Source organism: Homo sapiens, chromosome 20 (genome assembly GCF_000001405.40).
Source record: "Homo sapiens chromosome 20, GRCh38.p14 Primary Assembly".
NCBI lineage: Eukaryota > Metazoa > Chordata > Mammalia > Primates > Hominidae > Homo > Homo sapiens.
The window spans coordinates 59,597,820-59,614,692 of NC_000020.11; the positions used below are offsets into that span (position 1 = coordinate 59,597,820).

The 16,873-nt window shown below is 51.3% G+C and overlaps 1 protein-coding gene across 8 annotated transcripts in view, besides 1 other annotated feature; it reads left to right on the forward strand.

Moving 5' to 3' along the window:
* The window catches only part of PHACTR3 (phosphatase and actin regulator 3), a 270,203-nt gene that overhangs the window by 20,311 nt on the left and 233,019 nt on the right, over positions 1-16,873 (forward strand). For 2 of the 8 annotated variants that reach the window (NM_080672.5, XM_011528526.3), the window contains exon 1: positions 6,721-7,313. The exons of 5 other annotated variants lie outside the window; for them this stretch is intronic. In NM_080672.5, coding sequence (NP_542403.1) covers positions 7,196-7,313 — 118 coding nt within the window. In that variant the 5' untranslated portion in view covers positions 6,721-7,195. Of the gene's footprint in view, positions 1-6,720; positions 7,314-7,412; positions 7,558-16,873 lie in introns of those variants that run through there. One more of the 8 variants, XM_017027631.2, reaches the window with a different exon arrangement.
* Positions 6,342-6,542: a silencer, noted in NCBI's record as "peak4290 fragment used in MPRA reporter construct". NCBI's record gives its function as "represses an SCP1 promoter by STARR-seq MPRAs in K562 erythroleukemia cells {active_cell/tissue: K562}" and the evidence as "EXISTENCE:reporter gene assay evidence [ECO:0000049][PMID:32103011]".

The window sequence follows — 16,873 nt, forward strand, 5'->3', positions numbered from 1 at the left end:
AGGCCCCACAGGCACTCCAGAGCAGGAAGCAGGAATGCAGTCAGGACTGCAAACTGCACCTGCAATGGTGACAAATGCTTTTTCTGTAAGTGGCTCTCTCTGTCTATCAGCAATCTTTCCCAGAGGCCCCAGAAGCCTGTTCCTCTCCTTTCATTAGCTAGAGTCGGAGCATGCAGTATCTGTCACTGTGTGGGGGGACCCAGGATGGAGGAAAAGTCACCTGGAGGTCTATAGCTTTGTGCTGACAACATACAAGATGGGTCAGTGGCCCATGACACAAGAGTGCAGGGGCCAGTGGGGCTGCTTTCTGCCTTCCCTGTCGAAAGCCTCCCTGCCCCGGGTTGTGTTTCTCTGCTCTGGGTTCTGTCTTCTATCTCTGCTGCCTCATAGATAGGCCCCTCTCCCAGTCACCTGGATGTGCTGGGGGCACGGAAGGAGAATATCAAAGGGCAGGTGGTCTCTCTCAAGGAACTTTTTGTTCTGCTAATGGTGAAAGCGTATTGAGGGCTTCTGTGTGCTGTGTCAAATGCCCACACCCTGTAAGGTAGGTTATCTTCTTCTCACTTACACACGGAGGCTCAGCGGGGCCACACAGTCAGAAAATGTTGGGACCTGATCTTGTGCCTGGGTCTGTGGCTCCTGCCCTAGACAGCTTGAGTGGACTTGACCCCAAGGAGGGCTAGGCATATCTCCAGGAAGCCATGGGATGCCCACACCACATTTTTTCAGGGCGACTCTAGCTACCAGTGCCTTTCAGGGCAGAGGCCATGAATGGTGAAATCAGGGATTTGGTTCTGGAAGAGCTGGGTGTGTTGTTTTTAAAAAGCCTTGGTTGGCATTGCATTGAGCACCACTCTGGGTAGTCTCTGGTCACAGCTCTAGGTAGAGAGTCCCTCAGGGATGTGGTCAAAGGTGCAGGAAGTGAAGTTCAAGGCTACGTCGTCAAGCCAGGTCCAAGGACCATTCCCACCCGCCACTACTTCAGGTGTTGTTTTTCCAGGTGACCAGCAGAGGGCGCGGCTGCCCACCTGACGAACCTGGCCTGTGTCAGAGTGGTGGTTTTGCCTTCATCTTTCCTTGGGTCCTGGAACTCCCACACTGGTGTTTTGCCTTCTTGTTTCTCTTTAGATGGTTCCCTATGAGTTTAGCCTGAGATCGTGGCTTGAGCAGTTCTTCTTAAGCATTTGAAGTTTGCTGAATGAGTTATTTTTACATTAAGCATGAAGAAGAGTTCCCTGGAGCCCCAGAGAAGAAACTAGATTGTCCTGGGGGACTGAGGCAGCAGAGGGAGCATGAGCCCCTCAGTCCCACAAAGCCCGGAGCCAGCTTGGCCGTGGGGAGGCTGAGCCTTCACTCCTGGAGCAGGGCAGTTGCCTGGCTAGGCTCCGCCGTGCACATTCATTCATTTATTCATCAATGGATATGTATGTACTGGGAGACTACGACCTCCCAGGCACATTCTTGGGTGAACAAACACAACAAAAATCCCCGTGCCTGTGAAGCCGACATTGCCACCATCCAGGTCCTTGGCCCATCAGCTCCCCAGGGAACTTCAAGGCTCCCAGGGCCTTAGGAGAGCAGTTGGTAGCATAAGAAGACGGCGGAATTGAGCTAACCGTCTAAGTGCCCGCAAGAAGTAGCCTCAGGCCAGTGGTTGGTTTCAGTTTACAACCCCATTGTGATGGGCAGCAGACTCTTCCACATCACCCCAAAGGCTGCTTGTCAAACGGGGCTCCTCCTCTTTGCTGCCTCCTCCCTCCCTGATCTGATCCTCCCCACCCAGGAGATAGCATCACACCCACCCTGTTGTCAGTATCAGATTTGCTGGTAACCTCAATTCTACCCCCCTCATAAATAGTTAACTAGAAAACAAAACAAAACAAAACAAAACAAACCCTGGAGGTATCCTTGACTTCTCTCTCTAGTCCCCCGTAGCTCATCCATCACAAACCTGTGGGAGCCACCTTCAGAGAACACCGAGTCCAGCCTGCTGGGTGCCTCTGCCTATTCCTGCTGGGCCAGGCTGCTGCTACCACTCACCAGGATGATTTCCAGCCTCCTGGTCCATCCTGCTGCTTCCTCCCTTGCCCCACATGTCCCTTCTCTGACAGCAGCCAGAAGGATGCTCTGGAGACCCACCACTGCCTCAGTGGCTTTCCACCATCCTTGGAACAAAATCAGGCTCTTCCTGAGGTCCATGAGATGTTGCATGGTCTGGGTCATCCCCTCTTTGTGGCTGCAGATCCTTGCTCTGGCCTCTTTGCAGGGACTTCAGGGCTCCATGCTGCTCCCACCTCATGGTCTTCGCTCAGGCTGTTCCCTCTGCCCGGGGCGCCCTTCCTCCCTTGCATGTCCAGTTGGCTTCCATTTGCCCTTGCACTTCCAGAGCATCACTTCTTCAAACCAGGCTCCCTCTCTGCTCCAGATGAGGCATGCTGCACTCTGTACTCATTGAAATTAATTGATCCTTTGATTCATATTAGTCAATCTTGTCTTCTGTGCTAGACCTCAAGCTCCACAAAGCCAATGTGCAATCATGTCTCATTCATGGTGGTATTCCTGGCAAAGTGACTGTTTGGGCACAGAATAGATTCTTAGGAAATATTGGATGGTTGGATGCATCCATTGGTCTGTACCTGCTTTAAGAATGAGACCAACTTGGGAGGTGTGTGGGGGTGGAATTGGTCTTGGGGTACCATTCCTCACCACTCCCTAATGAGCAGGGGTGCCTCATACATGCGCTGTGTGTTGGAGGGGTTCTGCCATCCCTGAGCCACCTTTGCAGTGATGTGCTCCCTGGCTGCCCCTGGGCAGAGGAAACTGCCTTTGCCTTTGCGGTTTTGTGAGTTTTGAAAGGGACTTGGGCAATTTGGACTGACTCTGTCCCATCTTTGTGGTTCTTCAGGGAGCAGTGTTGGGTTATCGGGGCTGCCCTGAGTCAGGAAATGGCTTTGGGTTTTCGGATCAAGGAGATCAAGGGGCAGAAGGGGGGTCCTTCGATGAGCTTCTATCTGATCTAGAATCTGGGTGGAGACAGGGAGGGTTTCAGTGTTGATTATGCCCACCAGGGCAAGAGGCAGAACCCAATCCTCCAAATTCAAAGCTCAGCCTAGTGCCTCTACATGCTTTTTTTTTTTTTTTAAAGCTTTATTGAAAGAATTTACATATCATTAAGTTCACGCATTTAAAGTATAAAATTCAGTGGTTTTTAGTATATTTACAGAGTTATGAAACCATCACCATAATCTAATTTTAGAACATTAAGAACATTTCTAGAACTCAAAAAAGAAACGGTACCCATTAGCAGTCAGCCCCTCTCTTCTCCCACTCCCCATCCTCGGCGTCCACAGATCTGCTTTCTGATTGGATGGACATTGCATATAACTGGGTTCATGTGGCACGTGGCCTTCTGCCACTGGCTTCTTTTACTTGCATAATGTTTTCCAGGTTCATCTGCATGTGATTGTGGCACATGTCAGTACGTCCCTCCTTTTCATGGCTGCATATTATCCTACAGTTAGGATGGACCACATTTTATTTACCCATTTATCAGTCCATGGACATTTAGGTTGTTCGTAATTTTTTGGCCATTATGAAGCTTTGTTCATTCCAATAGGGTTTCTGCAATGGCCTTCCAAATCCACCCCTTGCCAGGGATCTTGTTCAGGAGGGACAATTGGTGACTTTCACAAAAACCTGTTGTGGGCCCTCAAGGCTGGAAACCCTCCTCCAAACAGGTGCCTTTCACACACCTTGGGGACCAGATCCTCACAGGGCTCAAGCCAGTCATGGTCTGGAGATGACCGACTTTGAAGTCCAAAGTCTCTCCGGCAGGCAATTTACCCGGAGACCTTATTATCTTCTATTGGTCAGTAGAGGTGGGATTGCTAACTTTTTTTAAATTTAAAACTATTTTTAGTATGGAACATCTCAAAGCCAAAGAATAATATAAGGAAAAGCTCCAGCTCTACCTACCTTTAACAAACCACAGTGCTTTGCTAAAATATATACTTCTAAGAAATAAAACTTGGTTGCATCTCATCTTCTGCTTCCCCACTCCATGTGGGCTCCTGAGCTCAAATGCCAAGTCTTATCCTTTTATATGTTTTTAACCCTCATCCATACACAGTTTGGTGGAGTAGGTGAATGGGTGCTGCTGTGTAGACCATCTGAAGGGACTAGGGATAATTTTTGGTGGTGCACGGACAAGGCAGGAACATTGGCTTAGATAGAAAGTTCCTTCCATTCTTTGTCCTTATGGTAACATTAAGGAGGATGTCTCTATTCGGTGCCTGCCTGGCTGAACTCCTCTCTCACCCTTGGGCCCTTTTTAACCACACAGGAGACAGCTCAGGCCAAGAGTGGACTCAGGTATTGAGTTAGTGCCGTGGTCCCCCCCACCAATGCCAGCCAGCGAGGCTGTGCTCCATCAGTCCTATTGAAGGCTTCCTTTAACATGCATGTCGGCCCGGTGTGGAGGTGCACACTGTACTCCCAAGTACTAGGAAGGCTGAGGTGGGATGATTGTTTGAGCCCAGGAGTTTGAGGCTGTAGTGCACTATGATTGCCCCCGTGAATAGCCACTGCACTCCAGCCTGGAAAACAGAGCAAAACTCTTTCAAAAAAAAAAAAAAAAGAGAGAGAGAGAGAAAAGAAAAAATATGTTTAAGTGCAAAGAGTTGATTTAAAGACAAATCTTAAGGGATGGAAGGATAGGTTTTAAATAGGGAAGGCTAAAAATCATAGGGATGGTTGGCAAATGACAGACAGCTGGAGACCTCTGGTGTGATCTTTCTCCTCCCCCCCACCTATAGCCAGTCTCTGGGCTCTATCCCTTCCTGCCCATCCCCACCATTTCTGCACCTGCCGTGGCTGGGTCAGCTGCAGGCTTCCTTCCAATGGAACTGAACTGTCTCAGGTGTTCACTCACCCAGACTCGGAAGGGGCCCAAGGCATGGTTGGGGGCAAGGATTCAGAAACCTTCCCATGGGGCCAGTACTCAGTGTGTCAGGACAGCCCCTGGGGACTTGGAGTGGGAGGTGTTGAAGACCCACTTGGAGAGACCCTGGGCCAAGAGCATTGGCTGTGGCCCAGCTCTTCCACGTGCTGGCTTGTAACCTGGGCAAGAGTGCTCACCTCTTGAAGTTGCCTTCATCTCAAAAGTGGAGACCACAGTAGCTCTCACCTACCAGGGCAGTTGTAGGAAGGAATGAGGTCCCCATGCAAAATGCTCAGTCCAAGGCTGGCAGGCCACTTCACCATCCAGCCAGCACATTTTTATGTGGATAAAACGTATCTATTCCTAGCAGTTTCCCACCAGTTTCCTCTTTGTTTCCTGATCTTAATTGCCAACTGTAATTAAATGATTATTTGGGCATCTTATTAGTGTGTTGGTGACCATTCTCGGCTTCACCCTCCCCCTTTCCCGGAAGACTCAAGGAGTTGGGGCGTCTCTGTGTTTGTGCACTGCTAGGTCCCTAATGCCTGGTGTGGTGCCTGGCACACACTCGACTCTGCACACAGTCTGAATGAATGAATGAGTCCTTTCTTTAGAGGTGACTGATGCTGCTGAAATAACTGCTGCTAAGAGCCCAAAGCTCTGTGTGGAGTGAACATCCACTTTATTCCCCCTCCCCACCACCACCCCGCTCAGTTCTGTCCTTGGCGCTTAACCGGGATTTCGTCCACACTGCCAGCGCTCACACTGCACTCCCAGGCCCTGCTGTAGGTGCTAATCTGATGGGGGCAGCCTTAGGGAGGGCTCTGTCCCCAGCAGGAGGACCCTTGGTGAGCGACTCTCCCCGCTTGCCCCCACCCCTTCCAGCACCTGCAAAGGGGGCTTAGAGCGGGGCTGCCCCATGGGGTTGAGAAATTGAAATGGGGGTGTCCTCCCCCAGGTGTCTCTGTGGTCCTTGAATCCTGGTGTCTGTTGAAATGCCTCCTCCTCTGGGCACCTTCCAGGACCAGGCCAGGTGACACCACCATTCCACCCCCGTCTCTACCCCTTTCCTGGACTTTCTTCCTTCCCTGCCCTGGCTGGGGAAGCAGCGGCTGCCTGCCTGTGTTCACCCCACACCACCGCTGGGGTTGTGAGAATCGCTCCTTAGCACCCTGGAGGACACCTCTGTGAGTGGCAGCCCTGGGGGGTGTCGCCTCCCTTGCCTGGCCCCTCAGGTTCCTAAGGGCGTCTGAGGAAAAGCCTCATTGGAAAGCGCCCGTGCCCTCCTCCCTCTCCCCCGCCCCCCCGCCCCCCGGCAGGGAGGAGGGTTCGGAGCGAGGGTTCGGAGGGTCCGGGGTGCCCTAGCAGGCCCAGGCCAGGTGGTTGCGGGGAGGAAGCCTCAGGTCGCTCCCCTCCGGTGCCGGGGTGGGCGCGTCGGGACCCACTGGCCTCCCAGTCCCAGGAGAGGAAGGACCAGGGAAACCAGCTGTCTGCAGCTGCTGGGGAAATTAGGGGCTCTCAGGGTTCCCTTTCCTCCGGGAGGGGAGGAAACGGGACTAGGAAGCTTTCCTGTTTCTAGAGCACGGCTTGGTGGGGTGGGCGGCTCCTAACCCGGGGTCCAGCCCCTCCTCCCCCACCCCGGCGCGCGGTCCAGGTATGTGCGACCCCTCCCAGTGGCCACGCGCCTTCTCACGCCCCTCTCCCGTGACGTCATGCTCCTCTCGCGCGGCATGATGGGAGAATCCTAATGTTTTCCAACAGATGCTCCAAGAACAGCTTTCAGATTAAAGCAATTGCAAGAGCAAAGATTCTTCCTTTTCCCTTTTTTCCTGGGGGGGTGGGGGGTGGGGTGGGGGGAGGGAGCGCCCCCAGACATTCCAGGACATCACCCCCTGCCCCAAGCACGCAATAAACACTGACAAGAAAAAGTTTTTATTTCCTGGTTCAACTTTTTTTTTTTTCCCTGGAATATAGACTGAAGAATGGGAATAAACACGAATAAATAACAAAGCGAGGCCGCGCACGCCGGGATGCGCCTGGCTGCAGCCGGCGAGGCTATTGTCTCCCCGCCCTGAAGCCAGCCCCGGCGTCTTTCTCCAGCTCGTTTCCTTTCCCGGCCTTTTTTTTTTTTTTTTTTTTTTAATTTTCTTTTTTAAAAAGACGCCCCCTCCAGCCCCCTCGCCGGTGACCTTGGCCGCCTCGGATGCTCTGATTCCACGCGGCTCGCTCTAACTTGCCCCCGCGCCGGCCGGGCCCATGGCCGCGTCGGAGGACGGGAGCGGCTGCCTCGTGTCGCGGGGCCGCTCGCAGAGTGACCCCAGCGTCCTCACCGACTCCTCGGCCACCTCCTCCGCGGACGCCGGGGAGAACCCAGGTAACGGGCTGGGCGGGGGCGGCGGGCGGGTCGGGGAGGCCCGAGGCAGGTGGCGCTGAGAGCAGGACCCCGCGAGGCTCCGCGCCCCGCCTGCATTCGGGGAGCCGCGGCAGGAACCCGCGCTCGGCCCCGCGGTTCCTATCCCCAGTCTCGCAGGGCTGGGGCGCCTCGGAGCCCTTTGTCCATAAAAGAGCTGATTTCCTGGGTAGAGCCGGGCGCTGCAGCTTCCCCTCCTCTCCGGCTGGTGAGCTCTGCCGTCCCCTCGAAGGAGGCTTCCTTTCCTCGGGTGCTGACCGGCTGGGGGAAGAGAGGCAGACCCGTGGCCGCCTCCGCCCAGCGCCGGTTCTGGGCCATTCCCTCCCTCCCCACTGCCGGGCCCCAGCTCCGGACGTCCCCGCTTGGGCATCTGCTCCTGGAAGGCAGCGCTCCGCAGCTGAGGCCACCGCGCTGAGGGCTTCCACCAGGCGCCTGACTCCAGCGGGGCCTGGCGCACCTGGGCGCGCTAGCCCCCGGACAGGTGTGCTGGGCAGAGCCGCCGGCAGGGAGACGAAGGGCGTGCGCCAGGACAGAGCCCGGTTTCGTGACAGCGTGTGGACTCCGTCCACTCTTCCACCCCCATGGCAGCGTTGATTGTTTAGGTGATAAACCGGTCACAAAGGCGTCTATAGGGCTTGATTGATTACTTTCCAGAGAGGAAGAAAGGCCTAATAAAGCGGGGGGGGAGGTGGGGGGGGGGGTGGGCTGTGTGCGCCTGTCACCATGGAGACGCAGGAAGCAAAGTGATCATTAAAACCTCTCTCCACCAGAAGGCAATTTTCACTTCACAGGGAGAAGTCTGGGCTTCTGAAATGTAGGGTTCAAAAAAAGAATCAAAGCTGGTGTTTTGGTATCAAGCCACAGGACTCAGTTTTGTATCTTAGAGAAGCACAATTCCTTCGTAGATTCTGTTTTGATAACAAGTTGCTTCGCCTGCCTTTGAAGACTTATTCTCTCTAAATGCAACGACCCCAGATGGGGACTTGATGATGTTAAATGGTGGGCATCAGAATCCCTGGGGCCCGGGTGAAGGCTGGCTTTGTGGGGAGGGATTCCTGCACTGGAACACACCAGAGCTTCCCGATAAACTGCCTAGAGGACTCATTACAGGCAGCTGTGTGGGCACTGGATCCCTCCCCCCCCCATTTGAAAATTTAAACAATAAACCCGGGCAAGTATTGGAAGATTTCTTTGTTAAGACTATTGACACTGTGTCACTTGGTCAAACTAAGGTACCGGCCTGAATAAATCTCTGACTTTTCTTTATCTGGGAGGGCAGGTTAATTTCCTTAGAGTTTCAAGCAGAGGCTGCCATGGCCGACCCTTAAGGTTTTAATTAATCCTTTTACTAGGAATGGGGGATTCAGCCTTCAGCACTCCATGATGGATTGCCTTTCTCTGGGTTGGAGAGGCGCATCCACAACTGTTCCAATCATGGAAGTTGAGTGGCTTCTCATGAGAATCCTTCTAAGCTCCCTTTGTCTCCCTGGCAGTAAGAGGAAGCAAACTTGAAATGGAAATTATGGAGGACTTGGCTTTTTGGCTGTATGTGAGTTTATGCCTCTGTGGGTGGGAGCGGAGGGTTGGGCAGGTGGTGCCGGTCCATGAGAGAAGGAGGAGGAAGGGCTGGGATGCCTGTGATTAAGTTATGCGTGGGAGGGCACAGGCTTGAGCTCTCCTCTGGTGCAACTGGTCTAAATGGGACCCAGAGAACAGGTGTCAGAGGTGAAAAGTCTAAAATATGTGCAATTCTGTGAGCAGTAGAACCTTACTAAAAAGCACCAAGCAATTAAGTATTTATGGATTGTGTGAAGCAGATTGTGTTTCTGTTCTGGCAGAAAGAGAATCAGAATCATCAAGTTGGAGGGAACTTGGGAACTTGATGGAGGAAGGGCGGGCTCAGGGAGTATTTTCTGTAAGCACCTTGCCTGGCTGGCCTGGTGTGTGCCTGCATACTTCTTTTGATGGTGGACTCAGTTCTTCCTGATGTAGTGCATACTTGTCTTTGGGCAGATCTGTTTAAGAATTCTTTTTCCAATGGTTCCAAAGGGTCTGGTACCCATCAGTCCTGATGGGATCTTCTCCTGCTGGGTGTTACTCAGGGCTTTCAGAGAGCCTGGGGTTTTAGGTATTGAAACAACCTCAGTCACTTCTTGGAAAGTCTAGGCCCTTCACCTGCTCTTCCTAGATAGCCTCCCTTATTTGTCCACCTGCTGCTCTAATGTGAGACTCCTGAAAATTGAACCTGAAGCTCCAGCTGTGGAATAACCTCACACAGAGTTAAGAAGCAGAGCTGTCTCCTCCCATCTAAATTCTATAATTTAATGAAAGAGTCCAAGGTTGCGTTCACCCTTTCCCCTGCAAAGGCATTTTTAATGCATCAGTATTTGCAAAGACTCAAAGCATTCTTCAAAAGGTGAGCTATGTTTTGACACCTCTTTCTCCCATTTTCCAGAGGTTACCCCTGCTGGGAATTGAGGGGCATCCTTTGGACTTTTCCTAATGTTTTATATACTTGTGTTGCTTGGAAAATGGCATATGGGAATGTGCTGGACTCATGGCTCTTCCATGAGTGGTTCTGCTCCACACTGGGTCTCGGAGATCTTGCCTCATTGCAATATCCATCTCCCTTTCCCTTTTAACACCCACACAGGATGCCAAGAAACAATTTTTCAGTTTAGCCATTGGATATTTGTATTGTTTCCAGTTTTTACCCACTACAGACAACACAGCTGTAATTACCTGGGCACAAACTGCCTTGTACTCACCTGAGAATTTCCTCTAGGGTGGGTGTGTGCCAGCTCTTGGGATGTTGAGGCCACAGGGGACCCACATATTTTATTTTAATGATATTGCACTCTCCTAGAAAATGTACGAATTCACACTTTCCGTAATCTATGAGAGTGCCCTTTCTCCAAACCCTTGCCAACACCTGAGATCATCAATCTATTTTTCTCTAGCATGAAGGGTGACAAATGGTTTCTTGTTGTGTTAATTTGCAGTTCCCTGATTGCTAGTGAGCATGAGTGTCTTTTTGTGGCCTTATTAGTTCATTAAATCTCCCATGGCCGGGTCTGTGGCCATGGACTGTGTGGCGGGGATGAAATATTTCCCCTAGGCCTGACCTTCCCGCCACTTTCACCACTGCTTCGTTAATGGGCCCGTCTGTATCTACACAATGTGCCTCTCTATAAATCCGCACTCTACACCCGTGAGCATGGTTAGGTGTTCTTCCAAAATAGAAATTTAATCAAAGGTAAGGAAGCATCCCCTGATCTTTCCTCCTTCAGAGGAGCTCATGGTCACAAGGGGTTTTGCTTCCTTTTCTTCCATCTGCTCTCAGGCTCTGGGACTAGGCTTCTGCCCGCTCCACATCCTGGGGCCAGCCCCTGGCATCGGCCCCAGCACGATGGTGGCCTCCTTCTTGTCGGGTCCCAGGCTGCCTCCTGGGCCTTCCTCAACATGATCCCATCACTGCTCCTCACCAGCCATCCCCTGTCCCTTGGCTGTCGCTGCCTTGCTCTGTCCTGGCTCCATGCCTCTCCAGCTCCTTTCTCCAACTCTCTGGCTCTGAGCTCCAGACCTCTGTGTTCTGCCCGGTCCTTCCAGTCCTTCAGACCTGTTCCCCACCCCAGGGAACTCTGATCTCATTTCTGATTTGCTCCTGGCACTCTTCAACACCTGGGGTTCTTGTCAGTTTCATTCTCTGTGGACTGTCCCTTCTAGACTGGGAGCCTCTTGAGGACAGGGGGCTTGACCATCACCTGAAGTGCTGCACCCCTGAGCTCAGCACAGAGCTCAGATGCAGGAGACTTTCAGTAAGCATTTGTAGGACGAATGGGCACAAGCCCCAGGCGCTGGTGTCTCAACCTATGTGGCGGTGCCTGGCCAGGCAACTGGCCACTCCTGCCAGCTGGATGGGGCCAGAGAGTGCTTGGAGGGAGAGCAAAGAGGAGCCAGCAGCTGCATCCTTCTGCAGGGCCGGGTCCAGGTCTGCTTTACTGCCTGGAGAGGGAGACCCTCTCAGAGCATCCTCTCCTGTCATGAGCTACAGACGGATGCACAGACACATTCCCCAGGCCCTGGGCTCAGGGCATCCCATGCTGGCCCCTTCCTCTTTTATGCCACTCTGCCAGCAGACAGGTGTGGGCTTGTGCTGATGGCCACTTCCTTCATCACCTGTGCACCCTCATCACCCACACACCGTCAACACCAGGCTCTGTTCTTGACACCTCCCTCTCCCAAGGTCACAGGTCTGCCAGACACGGGCCTCCTGGAGCCCACCCCACTTGTTTCAGGTCTCCCACCCCCACCCCCACCCTCACCCCCACCAGGGTTTAGCTCCTACCTTCCCTTTCCTGGACAACCTCAACACTGAGTCTTGGTTCTCTTCCTCTTACCGGTTTTCCTGCAGAACAGGAAGTTTCCAAAATGCAAATGTGGTCTAGTCTCTCCTTTGCCTCAAACCCTCTAATGCTGCCCCCTTCCTGGGCGTGGGAGAGGGCGGAGGCAAGAGCCTCTTTTGTCTGTACCATGGCTCTTTCTAGCTTCCTTCCTCGAATGTTCTCTTATTCTGGAGTCCTGGGTTCTGAGGATCTCCCTCTGGCTCCTTGTAGAGTGTCTACATGGCTTAATTAGTAGTAGAACTATGCAGTAATTACCTTGTCAGCTTCTTCAGGGTTATTAAAAACATAAAAGCTAGATGCTTAAAAAATACTGAGTTTAAGAACTCAGAGCTTTTTTTTGATTATGAAAGCATTGCCTGTTCATTATAGAAAATGGATGCTTTAAAATTCCTTTTCCTAGCTGGGCATGGTGGTCACACCTGTAATCCCAGCAGTTTGAGAGGCCTAGGTGGGCAGATTGCTTGAGCCCAGGAGTTTGAGACCAGCCTAGGCAACACAGTGAAACCCTGTCTCTATAAAAAATACAAAAAGTTAGCTGGTTGTGATGGTGTGCTCCTGTCGTCCCAGCTACTTGGGGGGCTGAGCCGGGAGGATCGCTTGAGCTGGGGAAGCAGAGGTTGCATGGAGCTGACATCATGCCTCTGCACTCCAACCTGCGTGACAGAGGTAGACCCTGTCTCCAAAGAAACAAAATTCCTGTTCTCTGCCCCCTTCTCACCCTAACACCACACAGAAGCCAATGACAATGGACCCCTTTGTCTTTAGGATCTGCCAGGTACCTGGCGAAGCTGTCAGCATTGGAACAACAGACATGAGGAAGTCAGGCCCAGGGGCACCGTCCAGCCTCACCTGCCTTCCTCATGGTCACAGGAACCTGTTTTCAGTACCTCACTTGGTACTCCTGGAGATGATCTCATTTGTTTATTAGACAAACTTGTTTATGGTCTGTCCAATACAGTAGCCACTAACTACATGTGGCAATTTGAATCTGAATAAAATAAAATAAATTAAGATTCTGTTTCCTCAGTTGTAGCCACATTTCAAGTGTGCGGGAGCCCCATGCAGCTGTGGCTGCCATACTGGATAGTGCAGATCTAGAACATTCCTTCCTTGCAGACAGCTTTGTTGGACGGTGCTGCTTGGATTGTAAGCTCCCTGAGGGCAGGGCCTTGCCTGTGGTCCTTTTGGCTGTGTCACCAGTGCTAGCACTGTGCTAACACTTGGTAGTTCCCCAATGAATGCTGACAGAATGGATGTGCCAGAGTGACTGGTGTGGTCTTGAGCTCTCCTGCGGGAAGGGACCCTCAGCCTCCCTAGTCTCATCATCTCATCCTCTGAAAGGGAGGGTACCCAGCAGAGATAATTTCCTATCCACACAGAACTCATTTATTTCAATTTAGTGAGCTTTCCCAGAGCACCTGCAATGCAGCACACTTGGCCCTTGCCAGAAGGGCCTCTTTGGACAAGAGAACAATGAGATGCAAAGAGATTCTTTCCCTGGGGCTAAATAAATGTGTCCAAGTCCTGGCTCAGCCATGGATAAGCTGTGTGACTTTGGGCAAGTCACTTTACCTCTCTGAATCTCAGTTTCCTTTAATGTAAAATGGTAGGCATTATTGTCCTTAAGTTCAGAATGAGTGAGGATAACTGAGCTGTTGTCTTTAACAATGAGTAAATTTTGAGACACAGCTTTAGGAGGCAGACACCTCCCCAAACATTCTCCAATCCCCTTGAGGTAATTCCATCTTCTGTTAACAAAGTCATGGTGGCAGTGACCACAGTGATGTATACAGCAGGGAGCGGGAGGAGGCGCAGCCTGCAGGTGGACCCCAGCCCTTCTGTGTGCCTGGCTGAGCTGGTCAGCCTCTCTGAGTTCTGTGAAATGTGAGTTAGAGCAGGACTGATCTGGCTAGGGGCCAGGCAGGAGTCATGGGACCGTGTCCCTCAGTGACGCAGAACAGCTTCAGGCACCAGGGCCATTCTCAGCAAATGGTGGAGGAAGGAGGAGGAGGAGGAGGATGTGGTTCCTGCTCTGATTCTGGATTTTGGGCCCCTGGCTCTAAAAGGCTCCTCCCCTACACTTTCCCACTCTCACCTTTTGTGGAGGCTGTGTCTCCCCTACCCCTGCCTCCCTCTCCGGCCCCAGGTCCACCCAGCCTCGGATGTTGTTCCCCGGCTCCCTTCCTGGCTCCCCAGCTTGTGAATGGAAATCTCCTAGGGTCCCCCACCTTCACAAGTTATTCCCTCTGGTCTGGTAATTTTGGGATAGCACACTGGTTGTCTTGAAATGCGATTTGAATGTGTATTTTGCGGGGATTGTTTTACTCTGATGAGTTTGTTTCCTTTGCAAGTATATCTTCAGGGAAGGTGCTTTTTAGGGGAGGGTGGCTGTCTGGAATGACACAGGTGAGCCTTGTTAATGCTAGTCCTGTCGCATGGCCAAAGCGTGCCGGAGGGGACGGTGCAGGTAGTGGGTGTGTCCTGGGCCCTCCCCAGAGCTTTAGCCAGGGCAGCATATATGGGAGGATATGAAATGTCACAGGAACAGAGGCAAAAAGAAAAAGTTTGAAAAAAACTAGTATATTAGTTTGAGACCTTTTCTTATTGAATTTGAGAGCTGGGTTCTATTCCATGCACTAGAAAACTCTTTAACACAGGGCACCAAACTGCAGCGTCTGCAGGGCCGGGACTTCCGCTGTGGGAGGGTCAGGGTGTGTGCCTGCTGGGGCGGAGCTGCTTCTTGCCCTGTGGAAATGTGGGCCCAGGTTGGTGAGACCATCTTCATCTTTTTTTTTTTTTTTTCCAGGACAGTGTCTCACTCTGTCGCCCAGGCTGGAGTGCAGTGACGCCATCTCGGCTCACTGTGACCTCTGCCTGCCTGGTTCAAGCAATTCTTGCCTGCTGGGTTCAAGCAATTCTCCTGCCTCAGCCTCCCGAGTGGCTGGGACTACAGGTGCGCGCCACCATGCCCAACTAATTTTTTCTGCATTTAGTAGAGATGGGGATTCACTATGCTGACCAGGCTGGTCTTGAACTCTTGACCTTGTGATCCGCCCACTTTGGCCTCCCAAAGTGCTGGGATTACAGGCGTAAGCCACCGCGCCTGGCTGACCATCCTGTTTTAAGAGTGACACTGGGAATCCAGATTTTTATATGACATGTTGTGTTAGGATTTTGTGTTGCTATAAAGAAATACCTGAGACTGGGTAATTTATAAAGAAAAGAGGTTTAATTGGCTCATGCTTCTGAGGGCTGTGCGGGAAGCGTGGTGCCAGCATCTGCTCCTGGTCAGGCCTCAGGAGGCTTCCAATTATGGCAGAAGGCAAAGGGGGAGCCAGCACATCACACAGTGAGAGTGGAAGCAAGAGAGGGATGAGGAAGGGAGGTGCCAGGCTTTTTTAAACAACCAGATCTTTTATGAACTATCAGAACGAGAACTCCCTCAGCACCAAGCCATTCATGAGGAATCCGCCCCCATGATTCAAACACCTCCCACCCAGCCCCACCTCCAACATTAGGGATTCCATTTCAACATGAGATTTGGAGGGGACAAATATTCAAACCCTATCGGATATGATTTTTAAATATTGACAAGTTTATCTATTAGGGATTGGGTTGACTTTATGTAATAGAAAACCTAAATAACACTGGCTTAAAGAAGATAAAGGTTTTCCTTCCACCAGAAGTCCAGACAGCATGATGGCGTCCCTGTCGTAGGGTGGGACGTTCAGTGAATTTCATACTGAATTCTGGTTGCAACATGGTTGCTTCACCTCCAGCAACAAGTACATTTTCTAGGCAGGACAAAGAGGGTAGGGAGAGGCACAGGGGTGTCCACCTGCCGAGTTTGACATTGCCTTCTTGGGAGCACTGCCCAGTGACACCCACTTATACCTCCTTGGTCTTAGGACATCAAAAGGCTACTCCCAGCTGCCAGGGAGCCTGGGAAGTGTAGCTTTTTCTTTTTGTTTGTTTGTTTGTTTGCTTAAGATAGGTGTATTGCTACTCTAACAAGAGCAGGTTCCGCGGAAGGGGAGGGTGAGAATGACTATCAGGTAGTGAACTACAGTCTCTGCCATATCAACTTTATAAAAGCACAATGTGATCAAAACAAAACATGTCTGGGAGCTGCATGTGGCCTGTAGTTGCCCTTTCAAACCTCAGATAGAAAGAATCTCATGGGAAGACTGAAGCAGTTTTTATGTTTTGTGCCATTACTAAGAAATTAAAGGTTGGACTAAGATATGTGATCCAAGCCTAAACATTATGTCCATTCAAATTTTATTTAACAATATCCAGGGAACAAGATAGGCAGGGTCACTGTTCCTCACAGAGCCAATCATCTGGTCAGCGATCAACGGCTGGAGTGAAAATGTGCTTATTGTCAACTCTTGTTATAAAAGGAGCCATCATACTTCCTTTTATTGAATAGTCCTCTAAACCCTTGAGGTAGGGCCAGAAAGCTAGCGAGGCTGAGTAACCGGCCCATGGTCACATTTATATAAAGGGGAAGCTTAAAGAGGATCTTGAATCCAAGTGAGTCTGAGGCCTGGCCCATCCCTATCTGCACCACCCAGCTTCTGCCTCCCTCATCCTGCAACTTACTGGAAAGCGGTCCTCTGTCCTTTACATGGAATAGATATGTGTGTTTCACCCCCATTCCTGGCTCCAGCCATCTAGCTGACAGACGTATACATACCTGTAGTCACAAAAGCACACAGAGGCAGATGTACTCTTTCATTTCCCAGTTCATTTAACCAGAATGGCCACTGGGACAAGATTTATGTATTGAAAGTCAGGCAAGGCGATGGCAGAGAATCAGCTGTCTGTAGAGTTGTTGAAGGTCCCGTCTTTAATGGGCTGGGACTCGTGTTCCTGTTTGTTAAAGCAAGTCGGTTGGATGGGTAGCTTGGCAACGCACCTTATCTAATGGTCACGACATCTGTAGACTTTGACGTTGATTAGTTGGCAGCCACGAAATGGATCAGCCCTGCACTGAGAAGACGGGAGCTGTGGCTATACGACCTAAGAAGTGTGTTTATTATACATACTATGCTCCTGTTTGTAATACAACCCTTTTAAAAAGTCACCATTGGTCTTGCAATACTCTTCCTAATG